Here is a 19,787-nt window from a genome sequence, read left to right on the forward strand (position 1 = left end):
CATTTGTTTGCCCTTTGTCGAATGAGAAAATGAATGGTTTCACTGAAGTGGGGATTTGTACTTGCCTTGAAAGAGTAGCCAGGATTTGGCTAAAAACGATGAACAGACACAAAGGCAGGAAAGTATATGATATATTCAAGAACAGTGAAGAAACCAGAGATACCAGTTTGGCCTTGTAGAGAACAGTGATGATTGTTTAGGCTGAAAATGTCAGTTAGGTCTGAAATAACTTGGTCTTGATACTCTACGCCAGGATTTCTCAATCTTCGCACTATTGACATTTTGAGGTAGAGTTATTCTTTGTCCGTGAGGGTCTGTGTGTGCGTCGTAGGATATTTAGCAGCATTGCTGGCCTCTGACCACTAGATGTCAGTATCACTCCCTGGTTGTGACCACCAAAACTGTTTCCAGACATTGCCAAATCTGTCGGGAACAAAATGGCCCCTGGTTGAGAACCACTGCCATAGGCTATGGGGAGACATCGAAAAAATCTTGGCAGGAGGTGGTCTAATGTAACGAGTATTTGAGGAAGATTAATTTAGAAATGAGAGTTGGATGTATGGAGAGTAAAGAGAAATTGTACAGAGACCTGCTAAAAAGAAAATGATTTATACTATTTTGGTTATTGATTAGAGGGTCTTGAAGACAGATAGTGGCAAAAGTCAGGGAATCTGGGAAAGAGAATTTATGAGTTTTTTAAGTACAGAGACTTGATTTATCCACCTCTCTATTTCCCCTAGCACTACACATTGAATTGATATAGAAAGATGCTCAGCGAGGTTTGTTTCCTTTTTTTTTTTTTTTTTTTTTTTTTTTTGGTTAGCTGGTTGAGTGAGTGAATGATGTGGAGAGAAGGGAAGAAAGAAGAAAGAAATTGAACAACTTTCACTGTTTGTATTATTTCTCTGTATATATGATCACGTTTCTTCTTTTTGATGTTTGTAACGCACTTATCATTGGAGACACAGTGTTAGCACTTTGAAGGAAATGTATTGTGAGATTCTTAGACTGCAAAAGTGCTTCCGTTTTGTAGTGGTGATGGTGTAGAGCCAATTACATATAGAACCACTCTTTATTGCATTCCACTTAACTTGTCACCAGATTAACTGATGCCCACATTCCCCTGCAGAACATACAGAATGCCTGGGGGTTAGTAGATGCATCTCCAGTATCATCTCCAAACATCTGTTCCTCCCCACTGCCCCAGGCAATTGAGTGTTGGTTTACCAGGAGTCAGTTGTCAATTTTCTAAAAACTGTTTATCCAAATTATACTTATTAGCTTTAGTAAAGTGTTTAATGTTAAATAACAAAATCTGAGTGCCAAATAGAGGTGTGGATTAAGTAATTAACAAAAAAGCCCCCTATCCAATGGAAAGCTCACTTTTAATTGAGCTTATATGCTAGTCAATGTATTTCTCACTACTTAATTTTTTTGCTGTTTCACATTTGCAAATTTTATCATATTTCTGTTTGTTTTCATAACTAATAATGACTTAATTTTAGTGTTTGCATGCCATGGAGATCCAAGTCATGATACAGTTTCTACCTGTAATTCTTATGCAACTCTTCCGAGTTCTCACAAATATGACCCATGAAGATGACGTTCCTATCAACTGCACCATGTGAGTTTTGGTGTTATAATACAAAGATGCTATTTATTTGAGATCTTTCTTATTTTTTAATGGAGGTATTCATTACTATAAACTTCCCTCTTAGAACTGCTGTTGCATTCCATAGGTTTTGGTATGTTGTGTTTTCATTGTCATTTGTCTCAAGATATTTTAAATTTTCCCTTTTCTTTTTTGACTCAGGAACATGTTTAATTTCCACCTATTTTGAATTTTCCACGGTTTCTCCTGTGATTGATTTCTAGTTTCATTCCATTGTGGTTGGAAACAACACTTGATATGATTTCAGTCTTCTTATAATTCTTAGGGCTTGTTGTGTGGCCTAACATATATGGTCTATTCTGGAGACTATTCTATGTGCTCATGAAAAGAATGGATATTCTGTTGCTGTTGGATGGAATGTTCTGTATATGTCTGTTAGGTCTATTTGGTCTAAGTGTAGTTCAAGTCCAATGTTTCCTTATTACTTTTCTGTCTGGTTGATCTGTCCATTGTTGAAAGTGGGGTATTGAAGTCCTCTATTTTTCTATTGCAATATATTTCTCCTTTCATGTTCGTTAATATTTGCTTTATGTATTTAAGAAGATAAATATATAAGTTCCAATTGAACTTTTTCCAATTATGTAAATGTTCTGCACTTGTGTTGTTCAATATAGCAGCCACCAGCCACATGTGGCTATTGAGACTTCAACTGGGGCTGGTTCAGCTGAGGAACAGAATTTTTTTTTTTTTTTTTTTTTTTGAGACAGAGTTTCGCTCTTGTTGCCCCTGCTGGAGTGCAATGTCTCACTTCGCCTCCCGGGTTCAAGCGATTCTTCTGCCTCAGCTTCCCGAGTAGCTGGGATTACAGGCGCCCACCACCATGCCCGGTTAATTTTGTATTTTTAGTAGAGATGGGGTTTCACCATGTTGGTCGGGCTGGTCTCAAACTCCTGATCTCAGGCGATCCATCCGCCTCGGCCTCCCAGTGCTGGGATTACAGGCGTGAGCCACCGCTTCCTGCAGGAACTGAATTTTTAATTGTGTGTAATTTTAATTTTAATCAATTTAAATAGACACAGGTGACTAGGGATGCATATTTAACAGAATGTGGCCCCAAGCCATCAATTTTTACTTGAAAGAATAAGGAAGTATTATTTTTATGTGAAAACAAACAAGGATATATTGTAGAGTAGAATGCAAAATGCACCTGAATTTTGAAATCAAAACAGGGTACTTAAATTGTGGGCTGAGTGCTGGAAGTTTCTGGCTTTGGCTTTGCTGCCTCTGCTGTTGCCACAACCTCTTCCAGCAGGCCTCACACCACAGCCACACACCATTTGCGGGCATCGCTGCTGTTGGGGATAGTGTTGTTGAAAATGGAAGAAACTTTAGGCCAGTGGTTTCCAAAACATGGTTCCCATACCAGTAGCATCAATATCGCCTGGGAACTTAGTAAAATTGTTAATCATTGAGCTTCACTCCAGACCTACAAAATCAGAAATTCCGGGAGAGGGGCTGAGCAATCTATTAAAAGGGCCCACCAGGTGCTTCTGATATATGCTAAACTTTGAGGACACTGCTAGTCTCTTACCCCCAATTATAGTTCATATCATTACACCTGCCCCGGCTCTCCCTTCCTTTTCCCCGTTGACATGCTTTTCATTGCGTCTTTATTCCTTTCCTTTCCTTCTCCTTTCCTTTCCCTTTCCTTTCCTTTTCCTTTTCCTTTCCTTTCCTTTTCCCTTTCCCTTTTCTTTTCCTTTCCTTCTTTTTTTTTTTTTTTTTTTTTTAGGTGGAGTCTAGCTCTGTTGCCCAGGCTGGAGTGCAGTGGTGCAATCTTGGCTCACTGCAACCTCTGCCTCCTGGGGTTCAAGCAATTCTCCTGCCTCAGCCTCCCGAGTAGCTGGGATTACAGGCGCCCACCACCACACCCAGCTAATTTTTGTATTTTTAGTAGAGACAGGGTTTCACTGTGTTGGAAAGGCTGGTCTCGAACTCCTGACCTCATGATCCACCTGCCTTGGCCACCCAAAGTGCTGGGATTACAAGCATGAGCCACCGTGCCGGGCCTTCATTTTTTTTTTTTTTTTTTTTTGAGACAGAGTCTCGCTCTGTTGCCCAGGCTGGAGTGCAGTGGCGTGATCTTGGCTCACTGCAAGCTCCGCCTCCTGGGTTCACGCCATTCTCCTGCCTCAGCCTCCCGAGTAGCTGGGACTACAGGCCCCCGCCACCGCGCCTGGCTAATTTTTTGTATTTTTTGGTAGAGACGGGGTTTCACTGTGGTCTCAATCTTGTGCCCTCGTGATCCACCCGCCTTGGCCTCCCAAAGTGCTGGGATTCAGCCTTCATTTTATCTTTCTATTCTCTTCCTTTTATTCTCACTAGAGGAGATCTCAATATTTACCTAATTTGAAGTCTTTTACTGGATAGTAGCTACCACCATGCTTCAGACACATACAGAGATTTAGAAACAGATGTGACATCTGGGTTGTCAAATTAAATATCCTTCTTTTGAACTAGGAAATATATTTCATAAGGCCCAAGCATGTTAGATGCTGAAATCTTTGTTATGCCTAAACTATCACCATTATATCTAATGCAATCATCTCACTTTTAATTATTCAGGCAGTGTTAGATGTTTTGGGGGCTAGACATGACGATCTTAAGAATCAAAATATGTTAATTCATTATAGCATGACATGCTGACTCTTGTGAATGTCGTTTCAGGGTTCTCTTACATATTGTATCAAAGTGCCATGAAGAAGGCTTGGATAGTTATCTAAGATCATTCATAAAGGTTTGTGGAGTAAAGTTTCTTTCTGAGCAATTTGTTTTATGTGACAATTTTGTCTTACAGTTCATTTTTTTTTGTTTGTTTATTTGTAGTATAGCTTCCGACCTGAAAAACCGAGTGCTCCTCAGGCCCAGCTGATACATGAAACCCTGGCTACTACGATGATAGCAATATTGAAACAGTCTGCAGATTTTTTATCAATAAACAAATTGCTAAAGGTATGAACACAGGACACAACAAGGAACAAAAGCAGCCATAGACACACTTTTTTTGATACCCTCCCGTTTCACTTCTAGTCTTTCATCAGTTTCACATGTGACCCGTCCTTTCTCCACCATTTTGCCCATGCATCCTTTTCCTGAAGTTCTCCACAGAACCTTCTTCACCCCAACTACCCACCCCCTGCCCTCATTTAAATGTGTAAAAGAAAGAATTTTGGATCAGATAGACCTGAGTTAGAATCCTGTATCCATCACAAAATAGTTTTGTGACCTGGGGCCAGGTATTTAACATTTCTGAGCCTCCAAGTCCTCATTTCTAAAATACAAGTAAAGCATTTAACACATCGTTCCTGGCACATTGTAGGCACTCAAGAAATGATAGCTCTTATTATTGTCATTATTTTTATTACTTCTTTTATTAATGGTAGAATTTCGAGTATCTTGGAGTATATCTGATTGGGGCTTCTCTCTACTCTTCAAATTACATGAGGTAGGCAAACATCTAGGCTACTTAGGCTGCACGAATGTCACATCAAGAGCAGGGTTGGGGTCCAAGCTAAGTGCAGGTGGTAATAAGATTCATTGTCTATAGAGCATTTAAAAGCGGTAACAAGATAAACTAGAAGTTAGTTTGCTCTTATTACCACTTGAGGGCAATTAGAAACAATTTTGGGGATAAAATACTCCCCAGTGGGACAAAGGTTCCCATCCTTCCTTTATATATTACCAGTCAACCCTGAAGTACAATAGTACCTTTTTGCTAAAACCATTTGCAGATATTCTGTGACTTTGATAGTGACTTGGGATCACTTGAAAATGTTAGTAAAATTCAAAGACAAGACCCATATTGATCTGTCAAACTTTGCTAAGCTTCAGAGATTTGGTAACCGTTAAAGATTCTCTTTCTTTTTTTTTCAGTACTCATGGTTTTTCTTTGAAATAATTGCAAAGTCAATGGCCACATACTTGTTGGAAGAGAATAAGATTAAGGTAAGTAAATTAAGGTAAAGAATAACTTTCAATTGGCAAATGATAATTGTATATATAAGAATAATATTTGATGGAGACAAAAAAAGCTAATCTTACTCTCAGATAGCCATGCCATGCAAATCCCATTTTATATTTAAAGGCTGCTAGTGCTTGGCTTTTTCAATGTTGCTTACAAAACAATGGATCTATTGCATAAATCTGAGGTCTCGCAGTTGATATGTTCTCACCGTCTAATCTGCAGAGACTTTTCCACATAGATTCTTTCCTATAATCATTTGCCATGTACATCTCATTACCTTTGAAGCTTTGCCTTTGTCTTATGGCTTAAAAATGTCTCTCGAGAAGACCCATTTGGTTAAATCAGACATAGCGCTTGCCCATGCACGTGGAGTGTTACAAACACTTTATGCACTAGATATGATCCCGGAATGTGATGTATACATTTTGTTGTAATTTTTAATTGTTTGAAAGGTATAAAAATATTTTCTTATTCATAGGAATCATAAAGCTAAGACTTGTGAAGTACAAAATATTTACCTTATACTTAATTATTTTTTATCAGAATTTTCACAGAATATGTTTACTGAAATTGAAGTGCATGCATACTTTGTGTGCCAGGAAAAAAGTAGAATGAAAACTGCGTTGTGTCTGTAACTCAGAAGCATGATATTCCAAAGTTGGGGCAGAACAACCCATTCTTGCTGATAACCTCAGTCAGGTAGATTATTAGAGATCCAGATAGTTCCTGTAATTATATAGAGTGAAGTACATCTTGAACTAGTGATGTCATTTTTAAGTTGGGAGAACAATTATACATCAGTTTTAAGATATATTTATTTGTAGAATGTGTTTGAAAGTAAAAATGGCAATTGATTTAGACCTTTTGGAAGTCTGACTTTTTTCTGTGCCTATTTCATTTCAGCTTCCCCGAGGCCAGAGATTTCCCGAGACATATCATCATGTCTTACATTCACTGCTTCTTGCAATAATTCCCCATGTGACTATTCGGTATGCGGAGATTCCCGATGAGTCCAGAAATGTGAACTATAGTTTGGCTAGCTTCCTGAAGGTGAGTTCAAGGCAGCTAGAATGTGGTAAGGAACTCCTCTTCATTGATAGGAAGCCCAAGAAAAAAATTAAGCACTTTCTAGAGGCTCAGCTAGGTCTTCATAAGACTGTTGGAAAACTTAGGTTGCTTACAAACGTTGGCTATTGTGAACAGTGCTGCAACAAACATGGGAGTGTAGATATCTCTTTGATGCACTGATTTTCTTCCTTTTGGGTATACATCTAAGAGTAGAATGTTGGATCGTATGGTAGCTCTATTTTCAGTTATTTGAGAAACCTCCATAGAAGACATTGGCATTGGCTTGTGTTCTATATGGCGATTCAAAAATGTGAGAGGCTGGCCAGGCACAGTAGCTCACACCTGTAATCCCAGCACTTTGGGAGGCCGAGGTGGGCGGATCACATGAGGTCAGGAGTTCGAGACCAACCTGGCCAACATGGTGAAACCCCGTCTCTACCAAAAATACAAAAATCAGCTGGGTGTGGTGGCAGGCACCTGTAATCCCAGCTACTTGGGAGGCTGAGGCAGGAGAATCCCTTGAACCTGGGAGGTGGAGGTTTCAGTGAGCCGAAATCACACCACTGCACTCCAGCCTGGGCAATAGAGTAAGACTCCATCTCAAAACAAAACAAGAAAAGATGTGAGAAGCTACCTTAGTAGTCAAATTTAACTATATATACAAGATAAAGGTGATAACAATAATACCAGAAATACAAACAAATCTGTTCTTGATAGTGATTGTACTAATTTACATTCTCACCAATAGGGAAGGAAGGTTCCCTTTTCTCCACATCCTCACCAACACTTGTTATTGCCTCTTTTGGATAAAAGCTGTATATTTTAGCTTACCTGATCACAACAAATTTGTCCCCATCCCCCAATGAAATGACAAATAATTAAATCAGAGGACACATACAGGTGGCCTAGTCAGAAGACAAGTGTTGCTTGTTGTACACAGTGTTTTTAAGCATAGTTTGAATGCTTATTTAAATGGGAGCACATACTTTCTAGGTTGCCACCATCCCTACCACTCCTTATTACAGCCCTGAGCCTCCTCATTCATTTAAATCGTTTCTCTGACCCCGTTGGCTTTTGACTTTGCAACTTTTGGACTAAAGCAACCTGTTTGGTGATGTAACCACAGTGTACATGTTGCTAATACGTGTAAATGTAAATTGTTAGTGTTGATCAGTGAGGTTATTTTATTTGGGATATACCAGAAGAAAACTATATTTATGAAAGATGGCAAACTACCATCATTAGGTTTTGTTATTGTCAGTATGTAAGTGGCAGTGAGAGAATGTAACTGTTTTTTCTTTCTTTTTTCTTGCTTTCTTTCATTTTTTTTTAATTTGAGACAGAGTCTCGCTCTGTCACCCAGGCTGGAGTGCACTGGTGCGATCTCAGCTCACTGCAACCTCCGCCTCTTGGGTTCAACTGATTCTCATGTCTCAGCCTCCCAAGTAGCTGGGATTACAGGCATGCATCACCATGCCCAGTATTTTTAGTAGAGACAGGGGTTTGCCATGTTGGCCTGGCTGGTCTTGAACTCCTGACTTCAAGTGATCTGCCCCTCTTGGCCTGAATGTAACTGTGATAAAGTGGGTAACAACAATATTTGATGTGTGGCAGAGACAAGCGTGGGTTGCAAATGCACCTAGTTTTTACTTGCCTCTTTCCATTCTCCCTCTCTTCATTTCTCAAAGCTCTTCATTACTCTCAAAACTCTTCATATTAAGAACCTTGTGGGCAGCAATTCATCCAAGGAGTTTTAGTTTCTAACATATCCTCATTGTTAATTAAAAATTCACAACTAGGTTTCACACATCTTGAGTATGATTTTCTGACATAAGACTTCTCTTTGCCAGAATTAAAATAAAGTTTTAACCCTATTACACTAGCCTTTTTTGTGTATTAAAAAAGCCAACATCCACATATCTTTTTAAAATAAACTACGAATTAGATTATCTGAAATGTAGAATATTAGCTTCTTCCATGGAGTTTAAAGTTGAAGTTTACTATGTAAAGGGAATAGAACATTTTTGGTTTAGTAGCAGTATTTACTTAATTCAAGTCAGCAAACATTGGCTTGACTTCTGTGTGGCAATTCAAAGATGTGAGAGGCCGTGTTAGTAGTCAAATTTGAATATATATACAAGATAAAGGTGATAACAGTAATACCAGAAATACAGACAAAATACTATAGAAAAACTAGAAAGGGAGAGAGAGATTATGACCAGGCAGCATGAAACAAGTAACATAGTGCAGAGTTCCCCAAGACAAGAGTTGAGCATGTTGCAGTTAGAGGGTCCCTGAACAAAGATGAAATATGCATGTTCAAAAATTGTTCAGGGACGAGTGAAAAGTCGTGTGATGAGTTTAGGATGTATGGAGAAAGAGCTGGAAAGGCCATCTGGTGCCAATAATGAAAGGCCTTGAATGTCAGGTTAAGGAATTTGGACTTTGATTCATATGCAATGGAGTAACACCAAATACTTGGGAGGATACTTTTCTTGCTGGTATGATAGATGAAGTGAGGAAGAGACTCGAGTCAGGGCAACCGATTAGAAAACCAATCATCCGCGTGGCACAATCCACTTATCTTTTAGGCTCAGCTCTTCCCTGGCCTTTCCATGCAGTGTTGATCACCCCTTCTGTTGTTCACCTGTCTTTTACATAGCTCTGTGGCACTGTTATTGTGCACTATCTTTTCATTATTTGTTTGTCTTCACTATTAGACATGATTATGGACCATGCCTTATTCCACTTTGTATTTCTCTAGAATGTAGTACATTGTCTCAAACATAGTAGATCCTCTAAATGTTTGTTGGATGCTGGAATAAATAAATATGAGCCTCACTCAGTAATCCAGATGAGAGGTGATGAGGGTCTTACCCTGGGCAGTGGCAGCAGAAGTATAAAGGAGAGTATGAGATGCAAGATGCAGGTAGCTGGTTAATCAAATATTGAATTCTTCGGATTTCACAGAAATATTCTAGGCACTATGAAGGATATAAAGGAAAAGATCATTCTTATTGTCCAATCTAGGTGAGACGACAGGAAAACAGTCAGTAAAATACAAGCTAATACTGAAATAAAGTGTTTAAAAGGATCCATGGACCAATGTAGTTAAGGAAGATGGGATTTCATGAGAACCTTAAAGAATGAATAAGACCAGATAGAAGTAGCGAAAGAATTGCTAGGTGTGGCATAAGCCAAAGACTTAGAGGTGGGAATACACAGTGCATCTCGAGGGGATAATAAGTGAATGATGGCTGAGCATGCTGGTGCCCGCCTTAGTCTCAGCTACTTGGGAGACAGGCAGGAGGATTGTTTAAGGCTGTAGTGCGCTATGACTGTGCTACCACACTCCAGCCTGAGTGACAGAGCAAGACTCTGCCTGTCTCTCTCTCTCTCTCTTTTTTTCTGTTTTGAGACAGAGTCAAAGAAAGTCAATGAGATCTATTGGCAAATGAAGCTGGACAAGTAAGTTGGGAAAAGACTATGAGTGTTCTTGAATGGCAAGCTAAGGAATTTGAAATTGTATTAGAGACAATAGGGAACTATTGGAAGCTTTGGGGCAGGAAAATGACACCATTGGGCTAGGACTTAGAGGTTAATCTGGAAGCAGATGGATAGAGACATGAGAGACATGAAGACTGAGGAGGTTAACTGCAGTTTTTCAGTTGCAAGGTAGTGAGAGCCTTAACTAGGACAATGACAGTGGGCAAATATAAATAACTTGGGGCTGTCACAGAGAAGGGAGGTTTTATGCTTTGACTTCACTGAACACAAAAACTCTTTTGGTCTGAATTATTAATATTTACATAGGCAAGCCTCACTTTCATCAGCTAACAGACTACCTTACACTTCCCTTTGGAAGTGGGAGTTGACCAAAATGAGGTCAACTCGCTTGGGCTTTGAGAGTTGACCAAAATGAGGAAGTGTAGCTGAATAGATTACAGATATGTATGTGTGTCTGTGTATGTATGTGTGTGTATGTATAGATAAATGTATATTTGTGTGTGTGGCTATATATACATCTTGTTCTGAAAACTGTATAATTGAGGCCCTTCAGTCCCAATTCCAGTGATGCCACTTGCCCTTTATCTTTTTCTTTAAGGTCACCTGAAGCTCAGAAAGTTATCTATAAAAATAAAAATGTCTTTCTTTTTGTGTGGAACCAATTTTGAATTTTTAAAACTTTACATTTTTAAAATTTAGACTTTTAGAATTATGTAATTAACCCTTAGTTTTGTTTTGGTTTCTATAGCGCTGTTTGACACTAATGGATAGAGGATTTATTTTCAATTTAATAAATGACTATATATCTGGATTCAGCCCCAAAGATCCTAAGGTAAGTTATAAGGACATGATTGTAGTGGATGTCAGACATCTGAGCATAAGACCAAAGTGACATTTATTCTCTTCTAGGGGATTAGGAACTGTTGTTTTTATTTAGGTAGTTGGACTATAGACATACGTAAAAGCAAGGAATACTGGACTGTGTTTTGGGGTCCCCAGGACCCCCCATGTGTTCAATAGCTCATTTTAAGGATTCACAGACTCAACATATAGTTGTATTGATGGCTGAGATTCATGAGCGTGACATAATGAGGATACTCAGCTGAATCGGGAAAGGAAAAGACATCAAATGGGGTGGGTAGCAATCCACATGCAGCCTTTTTGAGCTCTTTCCCTCCTGTGAAGGGTCTCACAGAGCACAGCCTCCTTCTAGCAGTGAAAATGCACTTGTAAGTGTGCAATATTTCTGTTCAAGGAAGCCTGTTTAAAACTCAGAGTTGAGAGTTTTTATTGGGGGCTGATTATGTGTTGGAGGCTGGTCAAAATTCCAGACTCTCAGAAAGGAAAGCAAAGCAGGTGTTCACTATAAATCACAATGTTTGTACAAATAGTCTAAGCAGGCTGACACAGAAGGTGCAACTTAACATGTAGGGAACATTTCAAAATTTCATTTTTTAGATGCCAGCCAACAAGCAGGCCTTTTAAAGGATAGCAGTCTTGGACCTGCTATGTTAACTCTTTCCTGCACAGGTCGCATCTCAAGGTATGCTTAGAATACTAAGCACTTCCGTTGTGAAAAATAATGCGCTGTATTAAATTCTTAAAATAGCAAATGCCTACTAAATATGAGCTAATGTATCATTTCTTTCCATTTAGGTTCTGGCTGAATACAAGTTTGAATTTCTGCAAACAATTTGCAATCACGAACATTACATTCCTCTGAACTTGCCAATGGCATTTGCAAAACCTAAACTGCAGCGGGTTCAAGGCATGTATTTGCATTTTCCATCATTTGAGTTTGTTTTTTTCCATGTTTTGCTAGCGCTAGTGTAGTATAATGTTTTCTAGTTGAACCAGTCAACTTGAAGGTAATTTCAGAATTGTTACTATCTGAAGTCCATTAATGTTTTTCTGCATTTCCTTCATAATATCAGTAATAATGTTCATAGTGTGAAGAAATCAGGTGTGTTAATAGATTGCTGCTTAAACACAGATGTCAGATACTAGTGAAATTACTTTCTGTAGTAGTGTTTGGGATCTTGTATGAGACTAAATTAAGAAAAAGACATATAAATGCATTTCTCCTCAAAGCATCAAAAAATGTAAAGGTAGAGTAAAATGGTAACATGTTTGTGCTAAATTTATGAAATGCCTTCAGTTATCTCCATTGCTAGTTTTATTGAATGCTTTGTTGTATAGCACTATTCTTATGTTACTATGTTTTTTATTTGTCCCTTTTCTTTTCATATATTAATTAGATTTTTTTTCATTTGCGGTGGACCGTTTGACTTCAGTAGGTAGGTTTAACTCGGTTCACTCTAAATTAGCTTGCTGTTTTAGAAAACAATTGATTTGATGAATTGCTAAGATGGATGGGGGCTTTGTTTGCTTTTCAAATTCTCCCTAGCCAAAATGAGGCTTTAGTTAAAGTACCCAGAAAATCTAGGAGGCAGTGTGTTTGTTTAGTTTTAAAATAAAACTGAGTGTTGCTAGAGAAATCAACTTTAAAACATTTTCCCTCAAAACACAAGTTCCTGCTGCAAGCCAGCATAGAGGCCATGGATGGGGAACTGGAAGTTACTTGTTTTTTTTTTGTTTTTGTTTTTGTTTTTTTTTTGTGTGTGTCTCCTCTCTCAGGCTTGCCTCTCTCAGATGCTGTTTAGTGACACCTTGGCCACAATTTTGCAGGTGTAGATGAAACCACCTGATTGGATTTATTCAAATCACCAAAATAACAAATTGATTACCATTTGTAAAATCTACTCAGATAAAGCCACCTTTGTTAGTCAGTCCTGGCCCTTGTGCATAGAAGGTGATAGGGATTCACAAAAGAGCAAGACCAATGCAGGAAGAAAATAATCTGCCTTGGTCTGTATAGAAGTATCTGCTGAGTGGTGGTTTTAGTGATGGAATTATAGCCAGTGAAAATGGAGAAAAAAATATTTTTAAACCATAGCACTCCTATTCAGCTACCCCCTTATTCGATTCTGAACATGTATAGCTCACATAATTCACCCAATATTTATTTATAACTATGAGGAAGTCAGGAAAAAGAAGAGGTGGACAGATAATCAGGATTTAGGATTAAATTGGACTACTCGCAGCATTTATTAAGTCCCAACTGAATATAAAGCATTGTATTAAGTGCTGAACAGGCCAAAAGAAAAATAGAAAACATAATCCTTCGGCTTCATGGCCTATCTAATTAAATAGCACGGGAGAGGAAATAAAGATAGTAGAAATCTACCACAGAAATTACTAAACTTGGCTGGGCGCGATGGCTAACGTCTGTAATCCCAGCACTTTGGGAGGCCGAGGCGGGTGGATTCCAAGGTCAGGAGTTAGAGACCAGCGTGGCCAATATGGTGAAATCCCGTCTCTACTAAAAATACAAAAAAATTAGCCGGGCATGGTGGCACATGCCTGTAATCCCAACTACTCAGGAGGCTGAGGCAGCAGAATTGCTTGAACCCGGGAGGCAGAGGTTGCAGTGAGCCGAGATTGCGCCACTGCACTCCAGCCTGGGTGACAGAGCGAGACTCTGTCTCAAAAAAAAAAAAATTACTAAACCTGATCACAATCCCCTATAAGTACTTATAAAGCAAGTCCCAACCATGATATTAACATCTGGGATTTAAAATAGACTGAGGATCTAGCCTGGGCACAGTGGCTTATGCCTTAATCCCAGCACTTCGGGAGGCCAAGGCAGGCAGATCACCTGAGCTCGGGAGTTCGAGACCATCCTGGCCAACATGGTGAAACCCCGTCCCTACTAAAAATACAAAAAGAATTAGTTGGGCATGGTGGTGCACGTCTATAGTCATAGCTACTTCAGAGGCTGAGGCAGGAGAACTGCTTGAACCCTGGAGGCAGAGGTTGCAGTGAGCTGAGATTGTGCCACTGAGCTCCAGCCTGGGCAACAGAGTGAGACTCCATCTCAAATAAATAAATAAATAAAATAGACTGAGGATCTTAAAGGAAGGGAAAGACTTAGTTCGAAGTGATTATTTTCTGATATAAAATATTTGTTTTTGAGTGATGATGGATTGGAATGAAATGAGACTGTTTTCCTTATTGTTCTTATGTCCCATGTATATTTTCAGCCCAATATATAATATTTACTAAAACAGTCAATACTGTCAGACTATTCAGTTGTTTAGTTTGTCTTTTCCCACTTTATAAGTATAAATGGATAAGTAAATCAAGTATTATTACATAGAATTTTTCAAATTTATAGTTGTGACAAAATCTCTTCAGCTATAAAGAAATCTGTTAAAACGTTGCAAAATATATAATTATTTTATTGTAGTTTCTATCCTAAGATTTCTATGAGTTTAAAAGAATCTAGGGGAAAAAAAAGAATTAGGGACTTTCTTTCTGACTGAAATGATCATTAAAGCTATCGTTTAGCCCAAAATATGAGTGCTCCTGTCTTGTAAATTTTGCATGCTTATTCTAGATGATAAAAGAATTGCTCAGAATCATTAATAATAAAAATTATAGCTCTTGCTAGCATGATCACATATTATTAAATAATACAGTATTTTAATTATAATCATGTTTTGAATATTTTCATAAATGGGTTTTAAATTTCATTGTACTGCAGATTCAAATCTTGAATACAGTTTATCAGATGAGTATTGCAAGCATCACTTCTTGGTTGGTCTACTTCTGAGGGAAACTTCCATTGCTCTTCAGGACAATTATGAGATCAGATATACAGCTATCTCTGTTATAAAGAATCTTTTGATAAAACATGCATTTGACACAAGATACCAGCACAAGGTAAGGATATCCATGCAGTCATCAGTATCACACTGGTAGAGTTCTACTATGATTTTTTATAGAAGATGAAGTTTTTGTAGCAAGGAGCATTATATAAGCATTGAGGAAAATTTATTTTTGCTTCAAATCATAAGTTGTTTTTTTTTTGAGACAGAGTTTCACTCTGCCACCCAGGCTGGAGTGCAGTGGCATGATCTCGGCTCACTGCAACCTCTGCCTCCCAGGTTCAAGCGATTCTTGTGCCTCAGCCTCCCGAGTTGCTGGGACTACAGGCGAGTGCCACCACGCCTGGCTAATTTTTGTATTTTTTAGTAGAGATGGGGTTTCACCATATTGTCCAGACTGGTCTCGAACTCCTGGCCTCAAGTGATCCACCCACTGTGGTCTCCCAAACTGCTGGAATTACAGGCATGAGCCACTGTACCTGGCCTCAAAACATTAGGTTTTTAAAAATACCATTTGGGACCGGGAGCAGTGGCTCACACCTGTAATCCCAGCACTTTGGGAGGCTGAGGTGGGTGGATCGCTTGAGGCCAGGAGTTTGAGACCAGCCTGGGCAACATGGTGAAACCTCATCTCTACTAAAAATACAAAAATTAGCCGGGCGTGGTGGCACACACCTGTAGTCTTAGTTACTCGGGAGGCTGAGGCAGGAGAATCACTTGAACTGGGGAGGCAGGAGGTGGAGGCTGCAGTGAGCTGAGATCATGCCACTGCACTCCAGCCTGGGCGACAGAGTGAAACTCTGTCTCAAAAAAAAAAAAAAAAAATATATATATATATATAGTTTAGTTAACTGTTAAAGAAATACACTGTTTTCTCAACTCATACTTAAAGAATAACATAACTGCTTCATGATTAAGAATTTTTAAAAAATTTATTCTGTGAAACATATGCTTTAATATATCTTTAAATATATATCATATGTAAAATATGTAATAAGTTTTTCTTCTTACTGAAAAAAATGTTAATGTGATGGTGTTACTATAAATAGCTGTGGGTGTGGCTATAAATTTTACATACGTTACACTGTTGTCTATGAGTAACGGTCACAGCTACAGTTTCTATTTACTGCACTAATTTTGTTTTCTTTCTTTTTTTTTTTTTGAGATGGAGTCTCGCTCTGCCACCCAGGCTGGAGTGCAGTGGTGCGATCTCGGCTCACTGCAACCTCTGCCTCCCTGGTTCAAGCAATTCTCCTGCCTCAGCCTCCCAAGTAGCTGGGACTACAGGCACACACCGTCATGCCCAGCTAATTTTTGTATTTTTAGTAGAGATGGGGTTTCACTATATTGGCCAGGATGGTCCTCATTTCCTGACCTCATGATCCGCCCCCCTCAGTCTCCCAAAGTGCTGGGATTACAGGCGTGAGCCACCATGCCCGGCCTATTTACTGTACTTTTAACATATATATTGAAATCTTACTGACATTAAATCCTGTTGGCTTGAAAAAGTAGAGTGCAAACTGTATGGATTTAGAAGACTCTAATTTACTTCCACGGTATCATAAATCACTCTAGGAAACATAATATTGTTTCATAATAAATAATTTATCCTTTTCTTTTTACATTCCAATATAAATAAAATTATGATGTCATTTATCATCGGTCATTTTGGAAGGCTGACTTGGAGCTTTTATTCTTTTTCTACGGTATTCCCATTTGTCCTTTTTAAACAGAAAATGCCTGCCAGTGACATCTGCTCACATTCCTTTAATTACAGTGATTTTCATACATGTAAATCTTGCTAGTTTTCTTCATGTGATTGTATCCTAAAGTAGATTTAACTCCTTTGCTTTAAGATGTAATTTATTGCTTACTGCAGTTTGCTTTGTTTTTGACACATTATAACATACCTCCACTTAGTGTAGTTGGCTCAGTTATGTGCCATTTTCACTTTTTGTGAATGTTGATATTGACTTCACACAAATTAACTGGTATAATATATCCAAATAAAAAGATATCTTAAAAGTCCTCCAGTCCAATCAAGCTTGGTCAAGCCTTTAAAAATGCATTATCGCTGGGTTCTGGCTAACTACTTGCTTATGCCTGTAAGTGGGGAAAAGGATCTTATGCCACGTGGAGGAAAATGTCTTTAGCCATGATTTTAAATGATTCACTGGAAAAGTACAAAATGAACTTCCCCTCTCTGAAGCAAAAAGTTGTATATTTCTCCACTGCCTTTTCACATGAAAGAGAAAGAAAATTGGATTTTGCCAGTGGGATTCTCACCACCTAGAGGCAGAATTAAATATTTTATATCACAAATTTGGACACTTTTAACTTACTTTTTAAATTCTTAGAGCAGTGTGTGTACACACGCAGGTATTGTTACCTGTAAATAAGTTAGACACTCTTTGAGTGTTTGAGGTTTTAAACTACAGGAAAGATTGAAATGCCAAGCCTTATTACTCTTTCAATGACTTCTGAAGCTCTTTCCTCTTTGTTCAGAGGCTTCATACAGGCATTAAATGACGATAGAGTTTTCTCCATAAGAAGTTTGTTTACTTCGTGGGCTTGGTTAACCAAAGTTTCAATTCTAGAGTATTGGATGAGGATATAAAAGGTCCTTTGTCTGTTTTGTGCAGTTTCCAGGCAGCCTGTGTAAGAGTTCATTTATCAAATACATCCAAGTAGAGCATGTTTCCTATTAATGATGACACCAAGGTGAGGGATTGGAGGGAGCCTTAAGCCCTCATATTTTCCATCAGTTCTCTAAAGGGACCCCAAAGTAATAAACCAAAAAAAGAAAAGAATGTTTCCTATGAAAAGCCTGCTTTGAGACTCAACTCCCTAATCATCCCCACCCTTTCCAGCCAATTGCCACTCCTAAGCCCCTGCTCTTAGGAAATTCTGGAGATATTGCTGGTCCCTGTTATGTGTTACTCATAAACTATTTAGCAATATCTCTCTCTTTTTTTTTTGTGACGGAGTCTCGCTGTGTAGCCCAGACTGGAGTACAGTGGCACAATCTCAGCTCGCTGCAGCCTCCGCCTCCCGGGTTCAAGCAGTTCTCCTGCCTCAGCCTCCCGAGTAGCTGGGATTACAGGCACGCACTGCTATGCCTGGCTAATTTTTTGTATTTTTAGCAGAGATGGGATTTCACCATGATGGCCAGGATGGTCTTGATCTCCTGACCTCGTGATCTGCCTGCCTTGGCCTCCCAAAGTGCTGGGATTACAAGTGCGAGACACCGTGCCCAGCCAGCAATGTCTCTTGTTATAATTACCATGAGACATTTTTCCTTTTCAGAACAAGAATGTTCAATATCTAACATTTACCCTGGGGCCTGTATAGTTCTTGTACCCACTACAAGTAATGTTCATACCTAAGAGAACTGCAGATTCTACTTCTAGTTCGGCTGTGGGCAAATCCTTTTTCCTTTTTTGAAAAAGTAATCCACGTGCATGGTGAAAAACAAAAATCAAAATGCCTGTCTCCCATTCCTTACCTCCACTTACCAATTCATCTTTCCAGAAGCAACTACTCTTGTGAGTTTATTTATACTTCTATTTTATATAAGCACAAGCCTATATGACATATATGTATAAAATATAACAGAAACCATTATACATTTTTCTTTTTTCACTTAACAATACAGCCTGAAGGTTAGATCTACCGCATTTTAAAAAGTAGCTGCATAGTATTCTATCATATGGATATACTTTATTTTATTTATCTAACTAGTCTTCTATTAATAGATACTTAGGTTATATTCTCTGTTGTGCAGGCAAAATTTTTAACATATTTGGCAATGACTGTATGTTTTCCTGTGTTCCTGCTTCCCTGAGAGAATTGTAATTTCTCTTCCCCTAGAGATCACTCATTATCAGAACTAAAATGGACTCCTATTTAGAAGCCATAATATTAATAATAGCAGCTAAAATTTATTGAGGACTCACTATATGCCGAACACTATTTTAAATACCTCACATTAATTGATATCATTATTATTACCCCCATTTTACCAAAGAGAAAACTGTAGTTAAGTGACTTGATTGTAATCAAGTAGCTAGTAATGGGAGAGCTGGGTTTTGCGCATGTCTCTAACTGCAAAATCTGTGCTGTCAGCCACTAGCTATACTGCCTTTTAAATCTCAACTTGGGACATTGAAAAATTAGAGAACCACCAGAAAAAGGGTAATCACTAAGTGAAAAATCTTGACACCAAAGTCATGGAACAAAGGAAAGTAATGAGAGTTAAAAGGCCGGGAGCGGTGGCTCACGCCTGTAATCCCAGCACTTTGAGAGGCTGAGGAGGGTGGATCACCTAAGGTTGGGAGTTCGAGACCAGCCTGGCCAACATAGTAAAACGCTGTTTCTACTAAAAAGGGACAAAAATTAGCCAGGCGTGGTGGTGGATACCTATAATCCCAGCTACTTGGGAGACTGAGGCAGGAGAATCTCTCGAACCCAGGAGGCAGAGATTGCAGTGAGCTGAGATTGTGCCTCTGCACTCCAACCTGGGTGACAGAGTAAGACTCAGTCTCAAAAAAAAAAGAATGAGTTAAGATGATTCATGGTAACTGTATTCACATATTTAAAGGGTTGCCATGCAAAAGTAGAAATAGACTTATTCTTTGTAGCTCCAAAGGGCAGAGCTATACCTAGGAGGTAGAACTTAGGAGGAGTGTATTTCAGATAAAGGACCTTCCTAATAGAACCCATGAAACGGCTTGAGTTTTAAAGAAGTTTAAAAAACTATTTGTCAAGGATACATGTAAGGGCCATTCATTCCTGCCTTCAGCAGGAAGTTGGACTAGGTTAGTGGTTCTGAAACATTTATGCACAT

The 19,787-nt window shown here is 38.7% G+C and overlaps 1 protein-coding gene across 6 annotated transcripts in view; it reads left to right on the forward strand.

Moving 5' to 3' along the window:
- The window catches only part of DOCK11 (dedicator of cytokinesis 11), a 190,333-nt gene that overhangs the window by 107,918 nt on the left and 62,628 nt on the right, over positions 1-19,787 (forward strand). For 4 of the 6 annotated variants that reach the window (XM_005262368.5, XM_011531276.4, XM_005262369.6 and 1 more), the window contains 9 exons: positions 1,506-1,624; positions 4,340-4,409; positions 4,499-4,624; positions 5,546-5,617; positions 6,540-6,686; positions 10,960-11,043; positions 11,868-11,979; positions 12,470-12,508; positions 14,818-14,996. In XM_005262368.5, the coding sequence (XP_005262425.1) occupies positions 1,506-1,624; positions 4,340-4,409; positions 4,499-4,624; positions 5,546-5,617; positions 6,540-6,686; positions 10,960-11,043; positions 11,868-11,979; positions 12,470-12,508; positions 14,818-14,996 (948 nt within the window). The remainder of the gene's footprint in view (positions 1-1,505; positions 1,625-4,339; positions 4,410-4,498; positions 4,625-5,545; positions 5,618-6,539; positions 6,687-10,959; positions 11,044-11,867; positions 11,980-12,469; positions 12,509-14,817; positions 14,997-19,787) is intronic. The other 2 variants (NM_144658.4, XM_047441841.1) reach the window with 1 other exon arrangement.

Source organism: Homo sapiens, chromosome X, assembly GCF_000001405.40.
Source record: "Homo sapiens chromosome X, GRCh38.p14 Primary Assembly".
Classification (NCBI taxonomy): domain Eukaryota; kingdom Metazoa; phylum Chordata; class Mammalia; order Primates; family Hominidae; genus Homo; species Homo sapiens.